The 24,769-nt window shown below is 54.7% G+C and overlaps 2 pseudogenes across 1 annotated transcript in view, besides 1 other annotated feature; one reads left to right on the forward strand and one right to left on the reverse strand.

Annotated features, from left to right (window-relative positions):
• LOC652276 (potassium channel tetramerization domain containing 5 pseudogene) overlaps positions 1–24,769 on the forward strand; it is a 27,111-nt pseudogene continuing 2,342 nt past the window's right edge. The window contains exons 1-3 of the transcript NR_015441.1: positions 1–344; positions 7,079–7,669; positions 10,577–10,685. The product of NR_015441.1 is annotated as a potassium channel tetramerization domain containing 5 pseudogene (transcript). The remainder of the gene's footprint in view (positions 345–7,078; positions 7,670–10,576; positions 10,686–24,769) is intronic.
• Positions 189–528: an enhancer, noted in NCBI's record as "active region_10275". NCBI's record gives its function as "activates an Ori minimal core promoter by ATAC-STARR-seq in GM12878 lymphoblastoid cells {active_cell/tissue: GM12878}" and the evidence as "EXISTENCE:reporter gene assay evidence [ECO:0000049][PMID:35858748]".
• PDPK2P (3-phosphoinositide dependent protein kinase 2, pseudogene) overlaps positions 13,170–24,769 on the reverse strand; it is a 25,938-nt pseudogene continuing 14,338 nt past the window's right edge.

The following is a 24,769-nucleotide window of genomic DNA, read 5'->3' on the forward strand; positions in this document are numbered from 1 at the left end:
GACCAGTGGGCGGGACAGAACGCAAAGGGCGATATTAAAAGCCGGACTCTTCCGGTGAAGCGGAGGTGTGGTGGGGCTTGCTGGGATCATGGCGGGGAATCACTGCGAGCTCCTGCCGCTGGCCCGTGGCAGGCTCGGGGCGGGGTTGGGGTGGCTTCTTGTGCCTCCCTTAAAGCGCGGGGCTCAGCGTCCTGGCCCAGCGCCCCAGCAGCAGGTCCAAGTGGGTCCGGCTCTACAGCGGCGGCACCTACTTCCTCACCACTGGGCAGACGCCGCTGTGTCAGGACCCGAAATCCTTCCTGTACCTCTTGAGCCAGGCCGACCCCGACCCGGACTCGGACAAGGTGAGGACCACGTGGGCCAGTCGAAAGGGCCTGGGCCATTTCGGCCTGTGGCCGCCGCACACGCCCTGCTCCACGCCGAGGAGAGCTCAGCAGGAGAGGGCGACTCTCCTCGGGCTTCGAGCCCAACACTCCCTTGTCGCCAGCTCATCCCCAGCTTGCCCCGATCCCCTATCCTGGGAGGGGAGGGCAAGGATGGCGCCCTGGTGTCCACTGCCTTTGAGAATCCTGAGTCGCTTCACCTTGGGGGTGTCTCTTCCTCGCCCTCTTTGCTCTTTGGTGGAGGAGGCTTCCGAGACCCCGGACTTTGCTGTGATTCTACTTTCTTTTTCTCACTAGGTTCTTTTGCCCAGGGTGTGTGAACGCCTTCTCTTCTCTGTCCCAGGGTACTTGCTGGCTCTGGAGACAGAACCCTTGGCGTTTCACATTCTGGACGTTTGAATTAACGCTGACGTGGGGGTTGATATGGGCGGCCCTTTTTTTCCCTGGTGACTTGTATTTAGAGAGTTGGCGCTCCATCCTTTCCATCCACAGCACGCAGCACCCACTCAGCACCTCTTAGAAGATGCGTCCATAGTATATACTGTGATTTTTCGAAGGGGATTTTGCTCATATTAAGGGTTGCTTTAGGGATGTCCAGGAAGGGCCAGGTAAGGAATCTTTCAATCTGCTTTCTAATTGGCTTAGTTTTCCCACTGTCTTCGCAAAAGGACAGGAATTTCCAGGTTAGTTTGCAGCTTGTCTTTCATCAAGCGAAATGCTCATGCTGTTGGGTAGATGGTAATAGAAACCTTTTGCTACCTTTATTTATCAAGAGTTGTGGAGCCGAGGAACCGTGTCTTGGGAGTTGTGCAGGATTGAAACTCACAAAAAAGCCTGTTTGAAGAAGTTGTTACCTATATTTATTCAAGGCAGTTCACAAGCCTTATACTAACTTTGCGGGGTCTTTCAGTTGAGCTTACATGACTGCGCTTGGCTTTGTGCCTTGGCAGCCAACATTTGCCATGCAGGAGGCTTCCCAGAAAGGTTCGGATCCCTCTTCAAGTTTGAGAAGCCTGACTGAGACCATTCTCAGCATGGCATGACCGTGATCAGGAAATGAGAATCTGGAGTTACTGCTAAGGCAGCCTTGTGGGTGGAAATGAGGGTTTGAGATGCCAACCCTCCTGTGCCTCCCCACAACTTCCAACTGTTTCCATTGCTCATTTGACCAAGCCCTCTACTCAGAGAATTGACCTCCCAGGAAATGACAGTCATCCCCAGGATAGAAATAGGCGTTTGTTAGCTGTGATTTTCCTTTTATAAGTGTGGGTGTGTGTTTTACTGTTTGGTTTTTCTTTTTAAATAACAGGGCTTAGTGGTCACTCCCTTGCCTTTCTACTCAAGCATTCCTGTTTTGTATATGAAATTAGAGTTTAAATTGCTCTTGTCCATTGGGTTCTTTGAGGCAATGGTTGTCTATTCAGCACTGGAGCACTTGATTCCCAGTTGATGAACTATAGCACAGTTAAGGTGGTTGATCCCTTTGCTTTACTGTTCCTTAAGACTTTGTTAAAAATTATGGGCCGGGCGCGGTGGCTCATGCCTGTAATCCCAACACTTTGGGAGGCCCAGGCAGGTGGATCTCGTTCAAAACCAACCGGGCCAATATGGTGATGCCCGGTCTCTACTAAAAATACAAAAAGGTGGGCGCGGTGGCTCACGTGTGTAATCCCAGCACTTTGGGAGGCTGAGGCAGGCGGATCACGAGGTCAGGAGATCGAGACCATCCTGGCTAACACGATGAAACCCTGTCTCTACTAAAAATACAAAAAATGAGCCGCGCGCGGTGGCGGGCGCCTGTAGTCCCAGCTGCTCTGGAGGCTGAGGCAGAAGAATCGCTAGAACCCGGGAGGCGGAGCTTGCAGTGAGTCAAGATCACACCACTGCACTCTAGCTTGGATGACAGAGCAAGACTCTGTCTCAAACAAACAAAAAAATGCTTTACGGTAGGAATCAATTCTTTGGGCGAGGGGTAATTAATCTTTCTGAATATATCTGTGTTATACTTGCTCTTTTCATTATCATCCATTTAACCAGGTTTGATTTCCAAATGGTAAAACTCAAATTCAGAACATGAAGGTAAAGTAGCAGATACAGTCGTCTCTGTCTCATACAATAATTGGAGTAGGGGCCGGGCAAGGTGGCTCACGCCTGTAATCCCAGCACTTTGGGAGGCCGAGGCGCGTGAATCACCTGAGGTCAGGAGTTTGAGAGCAGCCTGGCCAGCATGGCAAAACCCCGTCTCTACTAAAAATACAAAAAAATTAGCTGGGCATGGTGGCGCGTGCCTGTACTCCCAGCTACTCGGGAGGCTGAGGCAGGAGAACCACTTGAACCGGGAGGCAGAGGTTACAGTGGGCTGAGGTTGCGCCACTGCACTCCAGCATGGGCGACAGATCGAGACTCTGTCTCAAAAAAAAAGAAAAAAGAAAAGGAGAAAACAATAATTGGAGTAAATAAGGTTAGTTTTAGTGACAGATAATTTGCCAAAAGTGTAGTGCTAATTCATATTAGTCACGTTACTAAAGTGTTTTCCGGTGTTTTTCATCAAATGAGGAAATGTGTAAAATGCTTCATCTTAGTTTTGTCTCCAGTGGCTCTGATGAAAGAATGTCCCAGGAGATTCCTCCTAATTAAATGCTGACTGAGGAATCTGAGGAGGGGGGGAAGGGGTGTCAGGAGTGGGAGGCCATTAATGACACGTTGGAAGACAAACAGGATGTTGATTCACCTGTAAAGATCTCCAAGGCCTGACCTCAGAGTTGAGATTAAGGAAAGAATATTCCTCGAGTTGGACTTAAGCATGGATCTGGTGGAAGAGTCCCTGCCTGGATTATTAGACTTGTGTGGAGTGAGCACCTGGGCTTGCAGAGTGTGGGGGTCTGGAGAGGGGTTGGGTGGGGAGATTTAAGGGGGAGGAGTTCCCAAGAAACCATAGAAGCTTTGGGTGCCTGAGAGGTTGGGAGAGCACCCTGCTAAAGCATCCTATCTGGTAGGGAGGGGAGCTCTTGACAGACGGGTTGTTAGGGAGGGTGGTGAAAGCCACGCACATCAAGGGGCTGGCTTGATTGCCCTCTGGCCCCACATCTAAGCTTCTGGGCTGTGACTGCCCCCAACCAAGTCCTCAGAGCCCAGCTTGGGACCCACCACCCGCCATACTCCACGCTCCCAAGCCCTTACTCTGCTGTTCCAAGGGCCGACCTGCTGCCACAAAGTTCTCTTTCTAGACAGCCCGGTGTGAATTCTCACTTCCTCCTGGGACTTCCTCCAGCAGGACTGTGGCTGTGGTGAGCATTTCAGCATCTGCTCATCTGCTGTTCTGTCATCTTTCTCTTCCTTGGTGTCTTCGAGGGCAGGCCAGGTGGAATACGGCTTCCCAAAGACTCGATTCATTTTGGTTAGGTCTCTTGTATTGCATGGTCCCCGGCCCATAGGCATTGTTGAAAACAAAGTCGAGTTTGTTGTTTCCAGCTAAAGCAGCCCCTGCTTTAGTGTGGAGATACTTGAGGAGTTAAAAGGAAACAGGAAATACTACTGCTTTATGGTTGGAAACCACTCAGATGGAGGAGAATTTGGGGAGGCTTCGGTTCCTGCAGCTGAGGCAGCCTTGGAGAAAACTGCACGTGAACTTTTGCCCTTTGAACAGGGCCGTTGTCCCGGCTTGAGGGTTCCAGATGTGGTGGCATCAGATGGGTCTTTGAGGGGTGGGGCAGTCAGGGTGCCTCTAACAGTGTACTGGGTGTTGGCAAGACCTCGGGGGTGGAAAGTTATGGAAGGAATTGTTCAGACAGGGCCCAGTGATGGGGTGTGGGCTAGAGTACCGTCTTTGAAGCCGCTTGGCAAGAGAAGTGGGGATCACGTCTAGTGGAGATGGCAGATGATGTACTGTGTAGCCAGCACTGGTGAGAGACTGTGCCCATCCCGGGCCTGCCTTGTGACTTCGGGTGATTTCCCGTCCCCTGTGAGCTGTAGTTTCTTCCTCTGTAAGGTAAGGGTGACGTCCTCCCCTGAAGATGACAAATGTGGTGCCCCTGCCCCATGCCTGGCACCAGGTCAGTGCAGTCAGGAGAGGCTGTGCCTGGAGGTCTTCGTGTTTGTACTTGTTTTTTTTTTGAGACGGCGTCTCACTCTGTTGCCCAGGCTGGAGTGCAGTGGCGCGATCTTAGCTCACTGCAAGCTCCACCTCCCGGGTTGACATCATTCTCCTGCCTCAGCCTCCTGAGTAGCTGGGACTACAGGCACCCGCTACCACGCCCGGCTAATCTTTGTGTATTTTTAGTAGAGACGGGGTTTCACCGTGTTAACCAGGATGGTCTCGATCTCCTGACCTCCTGATCCACCTGTCTTGGCCTCCCAAAGTGCTGGGATTACAGGCATGAGCCACTGCACCCGGCCTGTACTTGGTTTTTGTTTTTAAATATTTGAGACAGAGTCTCACTCTATCCCGCCTCTATCTGGGCTCACTGCAACCTCTGCCACCTGGGTTCAAGAGATTCTCTTGCCTCAGCCTCCCAAGTAACTGGGATTACAGGCACAAGCCATCATGTCTGGCTGATTTTTATATATTCTGTAGAGATGGGGTTTCTCCATGTTGGCCAGGCTGGTCTCGAACTCCTGACCTCCGGTGATCTGCCCACCTCGGCCTCCCAAAGTGCTGGGATTACAGGTGTGAGTGTACTTTACTTTTAGGAAGGATATGCTAAGAACGCTTTTCCCCTCCCGCAGCCACACTTAATTTCTGTTAATGTCGACCTCTGGCCACACTCAGCCCTGTCAGCCTCGGGTGATGCACCGGAGGTCCCTGAAGGCAGCATGTATGGCCAGGAGTGGCTCGCCCTGCCAGTCCCCCTGCTGCCACCCAGAGCTCTGGCTGACCCTAGCAGCACAGGCCCCCGCTGAGTGGGTCTCCACCTCTGGGGACTGGACCCTGCACTGTGGGGAGGGCAGGGCTTCCTGGGCAGCCCCCGAGTTTTCTTGCAAGAAACCTGACACCCCTGCTCCTGAGAGGGCTCCAGTTCCTGCCGAGCAGAGCAGGACTCTCTGCAGCGACCTCGGCTTGGCAAGACCCCCCGTGGTTCACCTGAAGCATGTTTCTTCCCCGAGAAGCCGCAGGACCTCTTGTGAGGGGCCAGGTCGTGAGTCCACACACGTCTGCTTCTCACTAAGCTTTGAGTCATGTGTGGGGCAGGGACCTCCCAAATTCCAGTTTCTATGCTGGGTGAGGCCGAGAAGCAATGGAAGGGAAGGGTGGTGGGGAGGCAGCAGGCCTGGCGACCAGGGCACAGGGGCCCCACCCTGCTCTCCGAATCTGGCTGCCTTGGACAAGCCTCCTTGGTCTCTGGCCTCAGTTTCCCCATTAGTAATTGGTGACATCAAAGTCCTCTTGTGGGCCAAAGATATGCCACAGCTGCATAAAACAAAACAGAAGAGAGAGTAGAGGTGAAGGTTTTGTGTGCGAAATTGAAACAGAGTCACTTGAAATGGATAATTTCAGAGTAAAAACTAAGTATTTCTAATTAGGTTGATTGCAGATGTTGGTGCACAGGAAATTCTATGCCTTCGCGTCTAGATTTCTGTGGGGCAATTTGACAGAGTTTATCTCCTGGATTGGCTCAGGGCACTGCACCCTCTTGATTTCGTTCCCCTCTGGTGGCACGTGTCTCCGAGCACCGGGAATGACTGAGAGCCGCAGGGCCGACCCTCTTTGCAGAGCTCTGGGAGCTGCGGGAGGGTTGGGCAGCAGCAGGGTTATGTTGGGTTCAGAATCTGGCGTGAGAGCCTGGCAGTCTCCACCCTCATTCCTCACTGCCGTTTTTTTTTTTTTTGAGACAGAGGCTCACTGGATCGCCCAGGCTGGAGTGTAATGCACAATTTTGGCTCACTGCAACGGGGCTGTCAGGTTCAAGTGATTGTCCTGCCTCAGCCTCCCTAGTAGCTGGGATTAGAGGCACCCTCCACCAAGCCTGGCTAATTTGTGTATTTTTAGTAGAGACAGGGTTTCACCATGTTGGTCAGGCTGGTCTTCAACTCCTGACCTCAGATAATCCGCCCGCCTCGGCCTCCCAAAGTGCTGAGATTACAGGCGTGAGCCACCAAGCCCAGCCCTTCACTGCCATTTTCAAGGCTGGTGGTTGCATTAGGGACCTGTTCCTCAGGGGCTGGGGTGCCCCCATGTTGTCTCTGGTGCTTTGCTTGCTGGGTGACAGCATGGAGGGTTGAGGGCTGCAGCCGGAGTCTGGTGACATGAGCAGAGTGGGCAGGCTTCTCACCAGCCTTCTCTGAGTGCTGCTCTCCTAAACAGACTTCCCTCTGTGTTTGTCCTGTGGACTTGGGGAGGGGGCAGCCAGCTCTGTCTGTGGGATCTTCTTCTACCTCCTGAGACTGTGTGTGCCCTGGCTTGGCGCTGCCTCCCGTGCGCTCCTCTCCAGGAGACAACCTTGGCTCCTGCTCTTGGTGTGGCCAGGATCCCTCTTCTCCTCTATGGTTTGGAAACCGGCCTGCCTGGCCTGCGGTGGGTGGCTCCGGCTGAAGGCTGTGACCCCTGGAGATGGGTGGGTCAACCCAGCCTGCTGGGCCCACCCAATACCAGCTTGGGCCCGGCCCCAAGTAGGTCAGATGCCGGTTCAGCAAGGTGCGGGGAAGATGAGGGAGATGACTTGCTAAGAAAAGTCTTAATTATGGCTTTTTTTTTTCAGACGGAGTTTTGTTCTTGTTGCCCAAGCTGGAGTACAATGGCACAATCTTGGCTCACCACAACCTCTGCCACCTGGGTTCAAGCGAGTCTCCTCCTTCAGTCTCCTGAGTAGCTGGGATTACAGGCATGCACCACCACACACAGCTAAGTTTTATATTTTTAGTAGAGATGGTTTCACCATGTTGGCCAGGCCAGTCTCAAACTCCTGACCTCGTGATCCGCCCACCTTGGCCTCCCAAAGTGCTGGGATTACAGGTGTGAGCCACCACACCCAGCCAATTAGGGCTGTCTTACAAAAAAAAAAACCACCACGAACCTTTGCGAGAATCGAGCGCAGCCTGTGCTGGTTGTGTAAGCCGTGGGACACACGGGAAAGCCAGGAAGAAGAGGAAGAGCACCCCCACACCCCACCCGCGTGAAGAAGAGCAACCCCACTCCCCGCCCGTGGGAAGAAGAGCACCCTCACGCCGGGCCCGCAGGAAGAAGAGCACCCCCACGCCCGGCCCGCAGCATCCCGCTGGCTTCCTGGCCACCTCTCCTCACCCATCTTAGAGGCATGGCCGGGCTGGGGCATCTTTCCCTCCTTGGGCAGGTACCGCTGATGGCCTTGTGGGCAGCACAGGGGCCTTACCTGGGTCGGCTCAGGCACTGTTCTGAACATCCGTGAGGTGACCTTGCTCCCTTTGTCTCCGTGAGCCTAGGAGTATATCCTGAATTTTTTATGTTTTTGTACTCCCCATGTTCCATATTTTTGTTTCTGCATCAGGGTGGAGGCTATTGAGCCACATCCCTGACACAAGCAGTGAGCTGCCAAGGCCCTTGCGCCTGAGCTTGGCACTGTCTGGGCCTGGGCTGGTGCCATGAGTAGACCCTGCACGCACTAGGCCAATCTGGAGCACGTGGCTCACCCGAGCTCAAAGCACCGACACCCTGCACGTATATGGATGCGAGTCAGGCCTCAGCGAGACCTGAACCCTGGTAGGATTGAAGAGTGTTGGTTTCAGACCCCAGCACTTACTGTGAATGTGGAAATCAGCCACTGAAAGCCTCAAAAGAGCACAGTGGTGAGAGCAGCACCAAGCCCACTGCCAGTACACCCAGTACGCTGCTGGGTCCTCAGGCCTGTTCCTCTGTCCTGCTGTGTGGTTTTAACTGATGGCCGTCCTCGGCCCGCCCTCCTTCCCTCCTGCCTCCGTCCTTCCAGTTGCAGGGCTGGGGCTGCCCTGGTTGTCTGGGGGCACCCAGTACAGTTTCTTCTCCTCTTGCATCGGCCCAGGGCCCGAGAAGCGCATGGTGGGTTGTCTTGGCCTAGAGGTCACGGCTCAGTGCCCAGGTCCTGCCACAGGTTGGGTGCCCTGGCACTCATGGCGGCCCCGAGCTACACGAGCTGGTCTCCCCCACCTTTTGCTCGTAAAGAAACTGAGGCTTGGGGTGGCCTGGCTGTGAGCCTGCAGTCTGACCACTGAGGCCAGGCCTGGAGGCCTCCATGGCTGACAAAGGGGTTCTCTGGGGTTGTCCTGGGCAGAGGCGAGCCTCCGCCCTATCTGATCTTTCCTGACCTCCTGCCAGCGGTCTGTCGAGGTAGCAGTGAGCCGTGAATAATTCCTGAGCTGAGCGGTGTGCGGACGTCACGCGGCCAGCATTCTCTCTGTATGGGGGTGGGGCAGGGAGGAACCCTGGACTCGGGTGGCAGCACTGGCCGCCTTGCCAGACTTGGGCCCCTTTGTGGGAAATGGTGTCCATTTTTTAGCAGTTGCGCAGGACCGCCCAGCGTCCTCTTTCCGGGAGCTGGCCCTGTGGCCCCGGCCCTTGCTTGAGAGCTGTGGAGTCTGGAGGGCTGGGGAAAGGCAGGGCCAAGCCCAGGAGGCAGGGCCTGTGGGGTGGGCAGCTCTGGCTGGAGTGTTCCGGGGGAGGGTGGGGAAGGAGGATAGGGTCAGGTCTGTGTGGAGCTGGGGTCACCCTAAGGAGTAGGGGGGCCGCCGAGGCTCCGGGTCCAGCGCCCCCATGCCCGGAGCCCTAATTGATTTTATCTCAGCCACAAAACTCAGTCCCTGTGATCTAAAAAGAGCAGGTTGTTGCAGGTTTGCGGTGGTGGACTTTGGGAAAATCTCTTGAGACCACTAGGTCTTAGCACCCAAATGGCAGAATTTGTCCATGGATGAAAATAGGGTCCTAGCGTGGCCCCGTGCTTTGTGGTGGAGACACCTTCGGCCTCCCCATATCTGCGAGCCTGGCATTCCCGTGGCCAGCGCCTGCCCATGGCCCCACAGGAGCCACCATCTGGTGAGGGGGCTGCTCCTGCTCCGAATGGGGTGTGGGGTTGCTTCTCCAGCGCTTGGCCCTGGGCCTCGCCGGGGAGGCTGCCGGTGTTTCTGAACGGAGGCCTCAGCTCCCCGGCCTCCAGGGCACCCGCAGGCACCAGCCCCTGTGGGAGTGGCTCGCAGGTGGGAGCAGGACCCTTGCAGGCATGTGGGGGGAGGCAGGAGCTGCCCCAGCAGAGCCACACGGAAGGTCTGAGTCTGTGTAGAAGACAGGCTGTGCCAGCTTCGCAGTCCCCCCATCAGATGTGTAGCCGACAAGACAGAAACTGCCTCTTCCGTCTCCCCCATGGGGGCTGCCTGGGGCGTCTGAGCCCCCGTCCTGTGTTCACGGCCGGGCCACTGGGGCTCTTGTGCTTTGTGGAAGGGGCTGCAAGGTGTGATGTGTGGGGCACCCCGGGCCTCAGAGGGCATCTGCCCACATTGAAGTGGCCGTGGTAGCAGCAGGGGCAGTGCCTCTCAGGGGTCCCTCCACCCAGGTGCGTGAGGACACCTTCCGAGGGGTCTGTTTTGTAAACATCTCGGCCTCCGTGAGCGCTGAGCCGGGGCGAGGGCTCTGTGAGGTGAGTGATGATCTTGGGGAAAGCCCCGGATGCTGTTGAGTGCAGGTCACTGTGGCCTCCCTCGCTGCTGGCTCCCGGCCTGTTGGGCAGCCGCCCCTGCTGAAAGGTGCCCTCTCCACCCCTGGCAGGAAGCCCCTGTCACCCTGACCCCCCGTTCCTGCATGTAGGCTGCGGAGGACCCGGGCACGAGGAGCGCAGGCCCAGGCTGGTGGCCATCAGAGGTGTCCTTCTGAGGCTGAGCCCTAGGCCCCTGCCCTGCCCGCGAGGGCATCTCTGGGTGAGGTTTTCGTGTGTGTTTTCCTAGAGGTCTTGCAGTTGTGAGGACAGAGGTCCAGGGCACAGTGGGCTCACCTTGGAGTACGCAGAGCCAGGCTGCCTCCGTACGGAGAGACTTAAACTCACTTAGACCTGGGGTGGTGGCTGGTCAGGGTTAGGCTGTAGGCGGCAGGACGTGGCCACACCGTCAGGGGTTTCCTGAGATGCCGCAGGCTCAGGTGTGCTGGGGAGAGGCCTGGGTAACCTGGTGCCTCTGAAGCCTCCTGAGGTGGCCGGGCCTTGGTGGACCTGCAGGAACCTTCGGCTTCTCACGGAGGACTCACCGTGCTCTGCTCTCTTTAGGATGAAACAGGCGCCTATTTAATCGACAGAGACCCCACCTACTTTGGGCCTGTGCTGAACTACCTGAGACACGGCAAGCTGGTGATTAACAAAGACCTCGCGGAGGAAGGTAAGCCGAGTTTTGGGCACAGGTGCCTTAGCTTTGGGGGCAAGGGCCCGACAAAGGTGCCAAGGGCTCCACTTAAGACACAGATGCCTGCAGCCTGGGGCCCCAGGGAGGAGCAGGCCCTGTACTCTGAAGCTGGGGCCGACGTTCTGGTGCTGAGGCCACGGGCAGCGGCACAGCTGCCGGACAGGGAGGCCTGGGGACCCTGTGGGTGTGGGGTCCTCCCTGGCTGCAGCTCCTTGGAGGGCTCCCTCTGTCCAGGCTCCGGCTGGCGACACAAGGGGTGTGAGGGGTTCCTCCCTGCTGTGACTGAGGTGGTCTGAGCGGGTGTGTGAGGCACATGCCCGGTGATGCCCACGGCGTGCTTCAGGGCCTGGTTCCCTGGCCTGCTCTCCCTCAAGGACAGCCCAAGGGTGGTGAATGTCTCTGTGCCATCACCTGGACTGTGCCTGCTGCTGCCAGCTGCCGTGTTCCATTCTGAGTGATCGTGGTGCAGGGACGGTGCCCACACGCGTTGGGCCCAGGCTGGCCTGCCTGTGTGCTGCGGTGCTGGCTTGGCTCAGAACAGCTCGAGGCCTCGCCGTGAAGGCTGAGGGTTTCTGGGCACCTGCGTGCGGGCGTGGCCCTGCTCCCCCGGGTCCGTGTCTGCGCATCGGTCTGCACTGGGCAGCGTCTGACTCCGTTTCTGTTCTGGGCCTCTGGGCCTGGGCATCTGCCTGCCTCCTCCGAGTTCACGCGGGGCGTGGAGTGACGGGGGCTGTGGCCCAGCCCTGCCCCTGCTCTGAGGCTGTGAGCCATGATGCCCACTCCTGTCTCTTTGGCAGGGAATGTCTTTCACATGCACTCTCTCTGGGCAGCCGCTTGTGTTCTGTCGTGGAGCCACTCGAGTTGAGGCTTCGTTTTATCTCAGTCTGCCCCTAGTGGGATTGGCTCAGAAACAGGCACTAGACACAGACCAAGGCCCTGCCGCCCAGGCTCACCTCTAACCCACCCCTGACGCAGCCACTCACGTCCTCGGTGCTGGAGAAGGGGGCTGTGCGGGACCCATGCGGGGCTGGGAAGTCTGTGACACTGAGGCCCTCATCTCCTTGTCTCTATCCTGTGTGGCCCTGTCCCATGTAGGTGGCTGGGTGTTGTCCTGAGCTGCCATGTCCCATATGTGGGTTCCTCTGGGATCCTGGAGGAATGAAGACCACCCATGAGGAAGCCCTGAGGCAGGACCTGTGGAATCTGCTCTTAAGGCTCTTAAGGGAGGTTTGCAGTCCCTAAATGCTTCAGGTGGCCACGTCAGGCGGCACAGACTCCGCTCCCCAAGCCTGGCTCCCTTAGAGTTTGGGCTCAAAGGATGTCGGGAGGATGAGGGGCGTTACACAGCAGGTAGGGGCGTTGGGAAACTTTGACACTAGCAGAAATTTAGCTGTGGATGACTTTTAGATAAAATCTAGAATTCCCAGCTGGGTGCAGTAACTCATGCCTAAAACCCCAGCAGTTTGGGAGGCCGAGGCGGGTAGATCACTTGAGGTCAGGAGTTCCACACCAGCCTGGCCAACACGGCGAAACCCTGTCTCTACTAAAAATACAAAAATTAGCCGGGCATGGTGGTGCACACCTGCAGTTCCCGCTAGTCGGGAGGGCGAGACAGGAGAATCGCTTGAACCCACAGCGGCAGAGGTTGCAGTGAGCCGAGATCGCACCACTACACTCCAGCCTGAGTGACACACCAAGACCCTGTCTCAAAACAAACAAAATCTGGACTTCCTCAGTCATGGAAAGTGGAACTCCGTACACGGTGCCAGTTAGAATAAGCCATGGCGACAGAAGTCAAACCAGAAAAATGGATCTCATGATAACAGCACTTAAGTACGAGGGGGTCACGGGGGAGGTGGCAAGAGGAACTCAGAGGAAACAAGGCTGAAGTGGGCGACATGCCTGCCTCTCACAACACCCTCGGTCCCTTGGGCACATGGTCCACGCTCTCTACGAGAAGCTTAAAGAGCCAAGCGTGCTGAAGACCCCATGGCTGTGGTCAAGCTGGGAGACCAGCAGCCTCAGAGCCTACTCAGCACTGAAGAAGGTACCAGTGTCCCCACCAACGCCACGTCCCAAAAGTTCAAGCACACAACACTCGGGGGTTTCTGTGGAAAGACAGGCAGTGTTCTGGAGCATCTTGGCCGCACAGTTGTACAAGCACCAAGCCAAGCGCAGATGCGACAGGCCGGGCAGGAGGCCCCGTACGTGGGACCCCGGGGCCAGTGCCGGGGGTGCTCGGCGTCCGGTTCTAGCGGCACCCTGTGGGTGGAAACTCACTAGCCTGTCCACGGCCACGGAAATGAGGAGAAAATGACCCACCCAGCACCTCACCCGCCACTGCCTCACGGCAGCAAAGACTACAACCACCAGCAGGCCTGCCGCAGTGGCACAGACACCCTCCCCTTTCGGCTACAAATCACACGTGGGTCTGGCGCACGGGCATGAAGCCCAGTGCACGGAGGACCCAGTGCCACCTGCCTCGCCCGCCATCCCGGCCAGCTTACATTGCCATAGCAGTCCTCGTCGTCTTCCGACATAGCCGGCAGGTAAGCGGTGAGCTTCGGAGGCGTCTGCTGGTGCAGGTTCTCCCACGTGACGGACTCGAAGAACGGGTGTGCTTTAAGAGGTCCGTATCCTTCCATTTCCTCACAGCCTAACCGCTTTGTGGCATCTAAAACCTTAAGTAACAATCAAGACAAGTCACTGCCAGGGTGAAAACGTGATTCTGACCAAAGAAACCCAAACCTGGTAGCCGGGCACGGTGGCTCATGCCTGTCATCCCAGCACTTTGGGAGGCTGAGGCGGGCAGATCACCTGAGGTCAGGAGTTCGAAACCATCCCGGCCAACATGGTGACAACCCGTCTCTACTAAAAATATAAAAATCAGCTGCGCGTGGTGGTGCACGCCTATAATCCCAGCTACTCGGGAGGCTGAGGGAGGAGAATCGCTTGAACCCGGGAGGCAGAATTTGCGGTGAGCCACGATCGCACCATGGCACTCCAGCCTGTGCGACGAGAGCAAAACTCCATCTCCAAAAAAAAAAAAAAATATATATTTATCTCATCTCATCATAAGTCCCTTTCCATTTCCAAGTGCCTGATTCTTGACAGGAAATGACTGTAGCAGGAATAATAAAAGAAACTAAAATTTAGAAATCAACGGAAATTACTGTACCATTTAGCATTTGCTCAACACTGCACAGCATTTTAAGTTACTGGTGCTGGAGCGACTGGGGTTATGACAGCGCAGATGGCTGCAGACCCTAGTTCGTGACATCTGTACATTTCAGCTTTAGAGTCAGCTACATGAAAATTCGAACGACCAGCCCAGGTAAAACAGAGAAGAGAGGTTAGCCTGGGAAAGGTGTATCAGTTTATATTCTAGAAACAGAAGTCTCCTGACCTTCCTGTGCTTTTGGCCCTGGACGTCCCTCCTTACCACGACTCTGGGAGCGGGCTCAGTCCTGCCCCTGCAGGTGGCCCCGGGATCGCTAGGCTCCACAGCCACTGGCTTCTCCCAACCTGTCTCACCTCTTTCCCCTGGGCTGGGGTGTGGGCTTGATCAGTCCCTGGAGGAGACAGCTCTGCGGCCTTCGAGGGTCCCAGCGACACCCACTCCACAAGCGCAGGAGCGTGCTGGTCCCAGTGATGATTCGCTCCCTTTGTTAATTACTCAGTGTTTCTTGTTTTAGGATTTTTAACTATACACTGTAAAAGAATCCTTGCTGCTGTTCATTGTGTTTTGAGACTGAGATTCCTTTTCACCTGTGCGAGGAAAGGGGCCGAGCCTTGAGGGGCAGCACAGGATCCCAGGGCCTGCCTCCCCGTCCAGTTGCTCTGCGGTGGATGGAGGGGGCGGGGGGGCGGGGAACAGTACGGGGTGCTCTCCAGCAGATACTGAGAAGTGACAATAAGTACTCAAAACGTTTGGGTTTTGTTTGTTTGTTTGTTTGTTTGAGACTCTCGCTCTGTCGCCCAGGCTGGAGTGCAGTGGTACGATCTCGACTCACTGCAACCTCCGCCTCCCGGGTTCACACCATTCTCCTGCCTCAGCTTCCCAAGTAGCTGAGATCGCAGGCGCCCGCCACCATGCCCGGCTAATTTTTATATTTTTACTAGAGACGTGGTTTCACCATAGAGGCCAGGCTAGTCTCAAACTCCTGACCTCAGGTGATCCACCTGCCTCAGCCTCCCAAAGTGCTGGGGTGACAGGCGTGAGCCAATGTGTCTGGCGAGACTAGGTGTAATGATCCACACTCACTGTTAACCCTAAAAACACCATTTTTTGTGAACACGGGAGCCTCCAGGAAAGCCACTCAGAAAGCAGGTTCAGAGGACTCAGGGTGTCCCGGATCACCTTTCTAAAAGGAAATTCACGATATTTACCAAAAGTTTCTCCACGAGGTCTCTTGCCTTAGGGAAGAATTTTTCTGGAAAGTCATATTCCAACTTAATGATCTTCTGAAATATAAGATACTCGTTTCTGTAAAAATTTAAGAAAAAAAAAGTCATCCCAGGCAGGGTCCCAGAAGCCTCCACACGCAGGGATGAGCGCCCCGGACTCGCAGCACGGCAAACGCACCCCGGCCCCGCACGCCGAGAGCCCCCCACCTGGGCACGGCACCAAGTGCTGCCCTCCCCCACCCACCTCGAGGCTGGGAGGGACTGCCGGCCGGTGGGGTGCACCCCAACAGGCTCCAAGGCCCAGGCAACGCCGTCTCCTTACCCAGCTCGGAATGGTGGGAGTCCTGCCACAAGCTGGTATATTATGCATCCAAGAGCCCAAAGGTCTGAACTTTAAGGTAGGGGAAACAAACAAACAAACAAAGACATGTGTAAAATACAAGCGACAAGCCCAGTCCATTTCCCACTCTGTCTCCAAGGCCCCAGTTTCACCTCTAATGCGCTTCTATCCTTTCAGACCAGTTGGGTGTGAGGGTGGGGAACCCGCCCTCTGGAGAAGCCTCCCTGCGGCCTGGGCCCAGAGGGTGTGCACGCGGCAGGCACCGGCGGTCGTTCAGCTGTGCCCAAAGCTTCGCGGCTTCCAACAGGGCTTACCAACGTCCACACACGCCTGTCATCCTGAAGCAGAGCAGAGCTCACTCCTGGCACCACGTGGCTACAGACCAGGCAGGGGGCAGGATGGGAGGGAATGGGGCTGACCCTGTTCCAGTGAGACAACCCAGAAAGCTGAAGGAAGCGCCCTCCGGTCAGTGCTGGCGGAGGGCTCGCCGGGGCAGGAAAGTGCGGCACAGGCGAAATGAATGACCGCGACGTTCACACTTGACTTTCTTTAGTGTTTAGTTAAAATGGGGAGCAACAAAAGAAAACAGGCAGCAGAGCCTCCGCCTTTCAGTGTGGAAGCAGCAGAGAGAAGAGGGGTGCCGGGGGCAGAGCTGTGCCTGGACCCTCACGGGGTCCTCTCCAGAGCGTGGAATTCAAGCAGAAAGGGATTCTGGGGGTAGCTTTTCACCTCTGTGAATTATCGAATGTTTTATCATAAACACTTACTTTAGAATTTACGTATTTTTTAATACGATACAAAAATGGAAGGGGAAGCCAGTATTACACTTCTGGAAAACACATGTACCAAGGGCGTATCAAATAAACGTTCAGTTAGAACAAGTCATGCCACTTCCTGAAATCCACACCGAGGAATTCAGGGCGGCCTCTCACTCAGCCCAGCAGACCCCATCTCGCCCACTAGAGGGAGAACAGGGCACCCCCACCCCGACCCCAGGCAAAGAGACCTCCTCCTGCCCATGCAGGTTGGGTGGCGCATCAGACACACGCCAGTGTGTGAATCCATGGAAACCCCTTCAACGCACAACAGTACAGAAACAGGCCCATGAACCACAATCTGTTCATGCGACAGAAAACCACACACTGATCAAGACACCCACAAGTCATTCCAATGACCTGGGGAAGCGCCCATTATATAATCATGCAGGGCTCAAAACTGCTTGTCCAACGTGACTCGAATGGCATAAAAGCCACGCAAACAGCTATAAAATGCACAGAAAAAATGACTGGAAAGACATATACCTGTACGCCCAATTATTATCTGTGACTATAAGTGGGTTTGGAGATTTATTTTCTAAGACCTCTTCATAATTAATTTCTCTTTTCTTTTTTTTCTTTTTTCTTTTTCTTTTTTGAGACAGGGTCTTACTCTGTCACCTAGGCTGGAATGCAGTGGCACAATCTCGGCTCACTGCAACCTCTGCGTCCGCCTCAGCCTCCCGAGTAACTGGGCCTACAGGCGCTCGCCACCAGGCCCAGCTAATTTTTGTTACTTTTAGTAGAGGCAGGGTCTCGCCACGTTGGCCATGCTGGTCTCGAACTCCTGGCCTCAAGCAATCTGCCAGCCTCAACCTCCCAAAGTAATGGGATTACAGACGTGAGCCACCACGCCCGGCCTCTTTCAATTCTTTATAATAAAAGTTCTTAACTATGTTTAATATCACATGATTAAAAAATTCAAAAGCATAAAAAGAGATGCAGAAATGCCTTCCTCATAAACCTGTTCCCTCACCCCATAGACAACTACCATCATCCGTTCAGTGTCTATCCCTCCAGAGAACCTGAAACGCGCAAACGAGAAAACGTGAATACACATTCCTCCTTTTTCGAAGAGGGCAGGATCCTATGCGTATATTCGTAGAGCTTGGAGATCTTTCTGCACCAATGCTAAAGTGGCCCTCCGCCCTGAAAGTAAAATCTACAAACGAGGAAACGCTAGCTCTTAGGTGGCGACGACAAGCACTTTGAAAGCCGGGTACGTCGCGCCCCCCCCCCCCCCGCCCACCCCCCACCTGTGGGAGGGACTGTCCTCTGGGTCTCGGGATGCTGAGCAGCTCATCCTCGCCTCCCCCGCTGGATGCCAGCCGTACCCCTGCTCCAGCTGTGACAACTAAAACTGTCCAGACAGGGCCAAGTGTCCCCTGGGGAGCAGAATCACTCCAGTTGGGAAGCTCTGACCTAAAGCAGTGTCTGGCCATGCTAAGAACTCAGTATCTGGCCGGCCGCCATGTCTCACGCCTGTAATCCCAGCACTTTGGGAAGCCGAGATGGGAGGATCGCCTGAGCCTAGGAGTTCAAGATGAGACCGGGCAACACAGCAAGACCCCATCTCTGTTTTAAAAAAGAATTCAATAATAATGAAAAGACAACTCAGTATCTGCTGGTTGAAAAAAGTTAAAACAACAAAACCGAAAACGCCTGGAGACGGCCGAGACGCTGAGTGAGTGCTCAGAGCCTTTCCACCCTCCCATCACGTTTGTGCCACGGCCCCACCTCCCACAGTTTTTCCTGAAGCTGTCCAGCTCAGAAATCCAGAACTGCCGTCCCCAGAATCATTCATTCTCTCAGAGTGGCTCACTTCACTCCAGGAAGGTGGCCCCTTGTAACCTGGCGGAGCAGGAGAGTGGCAGCATGGGACTCCTGTGGTCCTGTCGACTCAAGAGAGCACCAGCAGCCGAAGCTGACCCCAGCCCTCAGCAGCACTTGACTGGCCCGGGGCAGGAGGAACCCCAGCCCCACCCTCATTCCACAAAACTGCTCCCTAGACTTGAAACTCCAGACTCTGATGCTGCCTCTCAGCCTGCCACCTGCCTCCCAGCCACCCTAGACAGCACCTCAGACTTCTCACCAACCCTTGCCGTCAGCTCCCTGGACATCCTCCCCCACACCGCCGGTGGTCCCCTGGCTGGGCTTCTCCACTTTCCCCTTCCTTGACCCGCACCGGCCCTGCAGCCCCTGTACCATCTGCACTTTTTTTCATTTTTTCACTATGGAGGCTGCCACCAAGACCCAGCTGTGTCTCTCAAAGACCCTCATGCCTGCTGGACGCCTCCTCCCTCCCACACCCGCACCCTCCAGGGCCTCCCTGCGCTCTGCGGGACGCTGTCCCACTGCAGCTGGTGTGTGGCCGAGCAACCCGAAGGCCGGGCTGCCTGCCCTCCACCCCGACGGGGGACAGCACCAAGGAAGCCTGGGCTCTGTGCACACGGCAGCCACGCTTTCCTCACTCAATAGTTTTTCCCAAAGAAACGATCAGGCTGGGCATGGTGGCTCACGCCTGTAACTCCAGCACTTTGGAAGGCCGAGGCTGGCAGATCACGAGCTCAAGAGATCGAGACCATCCTAGCCAACATGGTGAAACCCCGTCTCTACCAAAAATACAACAATCAGCTGGACGTGGTGGCGTGCGCCTGTAGTCCCAGCTACTCGGGAGGCTGAGGCAGGAGAATTGCTTAAACCCGGGAGGCGGAGGTTGCAGCGAGCAGAGATCGTGCCACTGCACTCCAGTCTGGAGACAGAGCGAGACTCCGTCTCAAAAAACAAAACAACAAAAACAAAAAAAACCCAAACGATTCAATCTGCAACCAGAAAGCATCAGCAAACCCAGGAAGCTTAGAACACAACACTAACGCATCACGTGTGTGTACGCCACGGAAAATACGCCTTAAAATGCGAAATGCTAATTTCTTCCCAAGTATGCTTAGCTACTTAAAGGCCACCAAATTCACTCTCTCAAATATTAATTTCTGTGTTAAAGAAAAGGGAAGTACGGCTTAGATGAAAGTGGTTACCTCTTACAGGCGGACTTCTCCGTGAGCAGCTCTGGAGAAACGTACTGCGCTGTTCCCACGAATGAGTTGGCCCTGGCTGCAGAGGAGAGAGAAGGTCACACTCGGACTCACGATCTGTGACAATCAAGGGCTGCGCGGTGGGTGTCGCACATGGCGGACCATGCACCCCCAGGAGCCAGACTTGTCCGGGGCGCACCGGGGCTGGCTCATGGCTCACCGGCTCAAAGACGCCTGCCTGACCCCTGGACACCGGCGCCCTGCACCCTGGCGCTCCCACCCGACACGCGCCTGGACAGTGAGCTGCACACAAACGGCCAGCACATTCTGCCGGTGGCGCCCGCTCAACGGAGGGCATGAGGACACGGCGCTGGCTGGCTCACTGCAGGACCTGGGGTATCCAAACGTGCCCAGGCACACAATAAACAGTTGCAGGCCAGAAAAACCTCCTTTCCATCACAAACAGCTTGGGAGCTGAGGCGCTACAAAGGGAACAAGACTCAGGCCTCCAGCCCAAGGGCCTTCCTCCACAGAGGAGCTGTGACGGAGCAGAGCCACAGCACGAGCTGGCCCAGGGCCACCACGCAGCTGCTGTCCACACCGGCCCTGCCCGTGGGCCGCTTCTGAGTGGTCCCTTCCACCTGCCCTCCTCCGGCCATGCTGAGAGAACCTCCCAGCCTCTGCTGCGGGGACTCAATCCCTTCAGTGAATGACTTTTCTGCGGACTTCATGACTGCCCAGGTGCGGTGGCTCACCCCTGCAGTCCCACTGCTTTGGGAGGCCGAGGCAGGAGGACTGCTCGAGGCCAGGAGTTTGAGACCAGTCTGAGCAACATAGTGAGACTCCGTGTCTAGAAAGAATTTCAAGAATTAGCCAGGCATGGTGGTGCACCTCTAGTCTCAGCTACTCGGGAGGCTGAGAAGGGAGGATCGCTTGAACCCGGGAAGCTGAGGGTACAGTCAGCCACAATGGCCCCACGGTACTCTAGCCTAGGCAATAGAGCCAGACCCTGTCTCAAATAATAAACAAAAAACAAACACTTCATGGCTGCATTTGCATCCTGCCAGGACCCTCAGTGATCCTGCCAAGAACACCAAGGACATCCGCAAACACGCACCCCGCCCCTGCCGGCCTAGAGGAAAGACAACCAAACCAAGAGCCAAAAACAAACGAAGCCATTCAACCCTGCAAAGAATCAAAGAAATGCAAATTAAAACACGACAGCCTATCACACTGGCAAAGGGAAAAAAGAATAAAAATACATAGCGCTGGCAGGGATCTGAGGGGACAGACGCAGCGCTAAGGGTGGGGCTGTCAAATGGCGTCGCTTCTGGGGGCAACTTTCCAATGAGCATCAGAAGTCACAAAGATGTTTGCCTCCCAGACCCTGCAGCTCCCTCTCCATGCTCTGTCCTTCAGGGTCCGGCGTGGCACAGCGACGAGGGCCGCGTCTGCTGGCGGGACGGGACGCCACTTGCTCCACCTACATATTCGGCGTTTCTGTTCTTTACTATCATCGAGTGTTGCTTTTGTGACTTGTACTTTTTCAAATGCCATTATTAAAAAGTCTAGGTTTTTGTCCTCTGGAGAGATGTATATAATGCATAATTAAATGACTGAGGTCGTCGTGCAGCACGCGGAGCCGTATGTGCTTTTAAACAGCCACAGCGTGCACGGAGCAAGTCCGTGAGGCCAACACCCACCCCATCTCTCGGATGAGCGCTACATAGTGACCTGCCGTGCTGTCGGGACCCTCGCTGCTGCTGCTGCTGTTCTAAGCTTCCTGCAAGCGAGCTACGGGCTCGGATCTCCTGGAATCCCTCCCTGCCCTCTCCAACCTCAGCTCCTCCTAGCTCCCCAAGGGTCTTCCCCCTCTCCCTTCTTTCCTCAGGGCTTGCCCACCCTCACCCTCGATTCCTCTGCCACACCTTCCTGAAGGTGGGACTCCGAGCCTCTGGGCATACGCAAAGTCACCCCCTTGGAAAAGGACACCTGTCCTTAGTTTAATCCAGAGACAGACAGCGCCGCTAGAGCGTGGAGAAGATGGCTACCCTCGGAATAATGTTCCAAATGCATAAAATACACAGGACTGTAGGAGAAAGCAATTATAATCCAATACACGTATCAAATTATTGAAGGAATGGATCTGTGATGTAGTACTATGTGACTTGCACGACACAGCAGCAGGTCACGCCGCAGGAACCCGGCAGCGGTGCTCGGCACAACTGGCATGGCGTCACTACCGTGACGTGACCCCTGCGGCAGGACATGGGAACACCTGTGACTTCTGATGACAGATGTTTGTTGCTGATGTTCATAATGGAAGGAAATGGTACGCTTTGCTGAAAGGTTAGTGAAAATTAGTAATTTCCTCCTATCCAGCCTCACAGATCCCCTGACTTCTATCTGTGACATCCGAGCTCAGAGTCCCAGACACAGCGTTAGGAAATCTCAGAGACCACCTAGTTACTTCTCCCTGGGAGCTCAGAGACTGGCCAAAGCTCACGCCCCTCCAGCTGCTGGAAACTCAGGCCCAGAGCCCCGCACTGGCTGCTGATGCCCCCGCATGCCACGGGACTACCGACGCTGGGGAAAGAGACAGTGGGATCTTGTCTGGGTTGTTGTCTCCACCCTCATCAAAGAAACTCCATGGACCACCCACAGTCCCCCAGATCTGCCAGTCATACTTGGAGGGGCAGTGGGAGGGACGACCTGAAGAAGTGATCCTGAGCTCACGAGACACCCACACTCTCTTCAAAGCCAAGGGTGCCGGCTGCCATGTTATCCATAAACCCACAAAGAAGCACAGAAAAACGCTCCGCAAAACGTGACTACCCTTTGGACGAAACACCAGCAAACCAAATGCAGCAACGTCTAGAAAGGACTAGGCATCATGACCAAGAGGATGTATGACACAGTGCAAGGTTGGTTCAAAATACAAAAAGCAATGCATTGCATCTCATTAGAATAAAGCACTAAGGAAAACACAGGATCATCTCAACAGATGCAGAAAATGCAGTTAACAAAAATTCCCCACCTCTACAGGACAAAAATATGGAATAGCCGAGGCACAGAAGGGAGGGCCCAGGGTCTGACAAAGGGCACGCACGGCCTACGGCCAACATCATGCTCGATGGTCAAAAACCGCACGCTCTCCCTAAGACCAGGGCGCCCGGCTCACCACATCCAGCCAACACCGAACTAGAGGTCTCAGCCAGGACAATTAGGGAAGAAGACAAAAGGCAGCCAGGTTGAAAGGGAACAAATAAAACTAGCTCGAATCACAGATGACAGGATCCTGTGTGCACAAAGTCCTGCGGACTCCACTGAGAAGCTATTACCACTAACGAGAGCTCAGCAGGGTGCGGGGCAGGGAAAAACCAACTGCATTTCCGCACAATTTCCAGGAGCAACCCAGAAATGAAATTCACAATCCCAGCACTCTGGGAGGCCGAGGCAGGCGGATCACCTGCGGTCAGGAGTTCAAGACCATGTTATCCATAAACGTGGTGAAACCCCGTTTCTACTAAAAACACACAAAATTAGCCGGGCGTGGTGGTGGGCGCCTGTAATCCCAGCTACTCGGGAGGCTGAGGCAGGAGAATCGCTTGAACCCGGGAGGCGGAGGTTGCAGTGAGCCGAGATCGCGCCACCGCACTCCAGCTTGGGCAACAAGAGCGAAATTCCGTCTCAAAAAAAAAAAAAATAAAAACAGAAAAAGGAAAAAAAAGGGAAGAAAATTCACAACTCTATTTTTTTTTTTTTTTTCTTCCCGAGACAAAGTCTCGCTCTGTTGCCCAGGCTGGAGTGCAGCGGTCTGAGGTCAGCTTACTGCAACCTCCTCCGCCTCCCGGGTTCAAGCGATCCTCCCACCTCAACTGGTCTCCGACTCCTGACCTTAGGTGATCCACCCACCCCGGCCTCCCAAAGTGCTGGGATTACATGTGTGAGCCACCGTGCCCGGCCAATAACTCTATTTAGAATAACATTAAAAACAAATAAGAATAAATGTCACAAAAGACGCATAAAGCTTATACTCTGAAAACTACAAAGTGTTTTTGAAAGAAAGATCTAAATAAACAGAAAGACAGCCCATGGTGATGGCTCAGAAGACTTAACGTGGGTTAACAATGGTAACGCCTCGTAAGCTCATCTCTAGACTCGATGCCATCCCTTCTCAGATCCCGGCAGGCTTTCACTGAGGGCAGTGTTTTCAAGGCCCATCTGCATGGCAGCGTGCATGGGCGCCTCATCCCTCGTTAGGGCTGGAGAACATTCCCCCGTCGTGTGGACACGCCACTCGTTCATCCACTCATTCGATGACACGTGCGTCGTTTCCACCTTTTGGCTACTGTGCATGATGCTACGGGCATTCTAGCACCTGTTTTTGTCTGAATGTGTGTTTTCATTTCTTGTGGGTTCATACCTAGGAGTGGGACTGCAGGGTCATATGGTAATTCTGTTTCCTTCTGAGGAGCTGCCAGCCTGTTTTCCAAAGTGGCTGTACTTTCTGGCATTCCCACCCACAGCATACGTGGGTTCCAGTCCCCTACGTCGTTGCTAACGTTTGTTATTATCTGTCTTCTCATCACAGCCCTCCTGGTGGGTGTGAGGTAGTATCACCCTGTGGTTTTGATTTGCATTTTCCTAATGACTAATAACGTTGAGGAACTTTGCATGTGCTTATGGGCCATTTGTGTATCTCTCCCTTGGAAAAATGTCTACTCATACCCTTTGTTCCGTGCTTTATTTTTTTTTTCTCCCTCTGAGTTCCTTACATTCTGGATACAAGTCCCATATCAGGTAGATGATTAGCAGATCGTGTCTCCTGTTTGGTGGGTCTCTTCACTTTCGTGATATCACTTGAAGCACAAAAGTGCTTAAACTTGATATAAATCTAACTCATCCTTTTCTTGGTCGCTTATGCTTTTTTTTGGCAGTGTATCTAAGAAAACACTGCCTAACCCAATTGTCACATTTAATCCTATAATTTCTTCTAAGAGTGTCATAGTCTTCGCCCTTACATTCAGACCTCTAACGCATTCGGAGTGAACTTTTTTTTTGAGATGGAGTCTCACTCCGCCGCCCAGGCTGGAGCGCAGTGGTGCGATCTCGCCTCACTGCAACCTCCGTCTCCCAGGTTCGAGTGAGTCTCCTGCCTCAGCCCCCACTCCAAATAGCTGGGATTACAGGCGCACACCACCATGCCTGGCTAATTTTTGTATTTTTACTAGAGATGGGCAGCTGGTCGCGAACTCCTGACCTCAAGTGGTCTGCCCGCTTCAGCTTCCCAAAGTGCTGAGATTACAGGCGTGAGCCACCGCGCCCGGCCTGGAGTCACCCTTTTTTTTTTTTTTTTTTTTTTTTTGGTGAGGCGGGGAGATGGGAGGCACAGGGATGGAGTTTTCCTCTGTTGCCCAGGCTGCAGCACAGTGTCGTGATCTTGGCTCACCGCAACCTCCGCCT

Source organism: Homo sapiens, chromosome 16 (assembly GCF_000001405.40).
Source record: "Homo sapiens chromosome 16, GRCh38.p14 Primary Assembly".
NCBI lineage: Eukaryota > Metazoa > Chordata > Mammalia > Primates > Hominidae > Homo > Homo sapiens.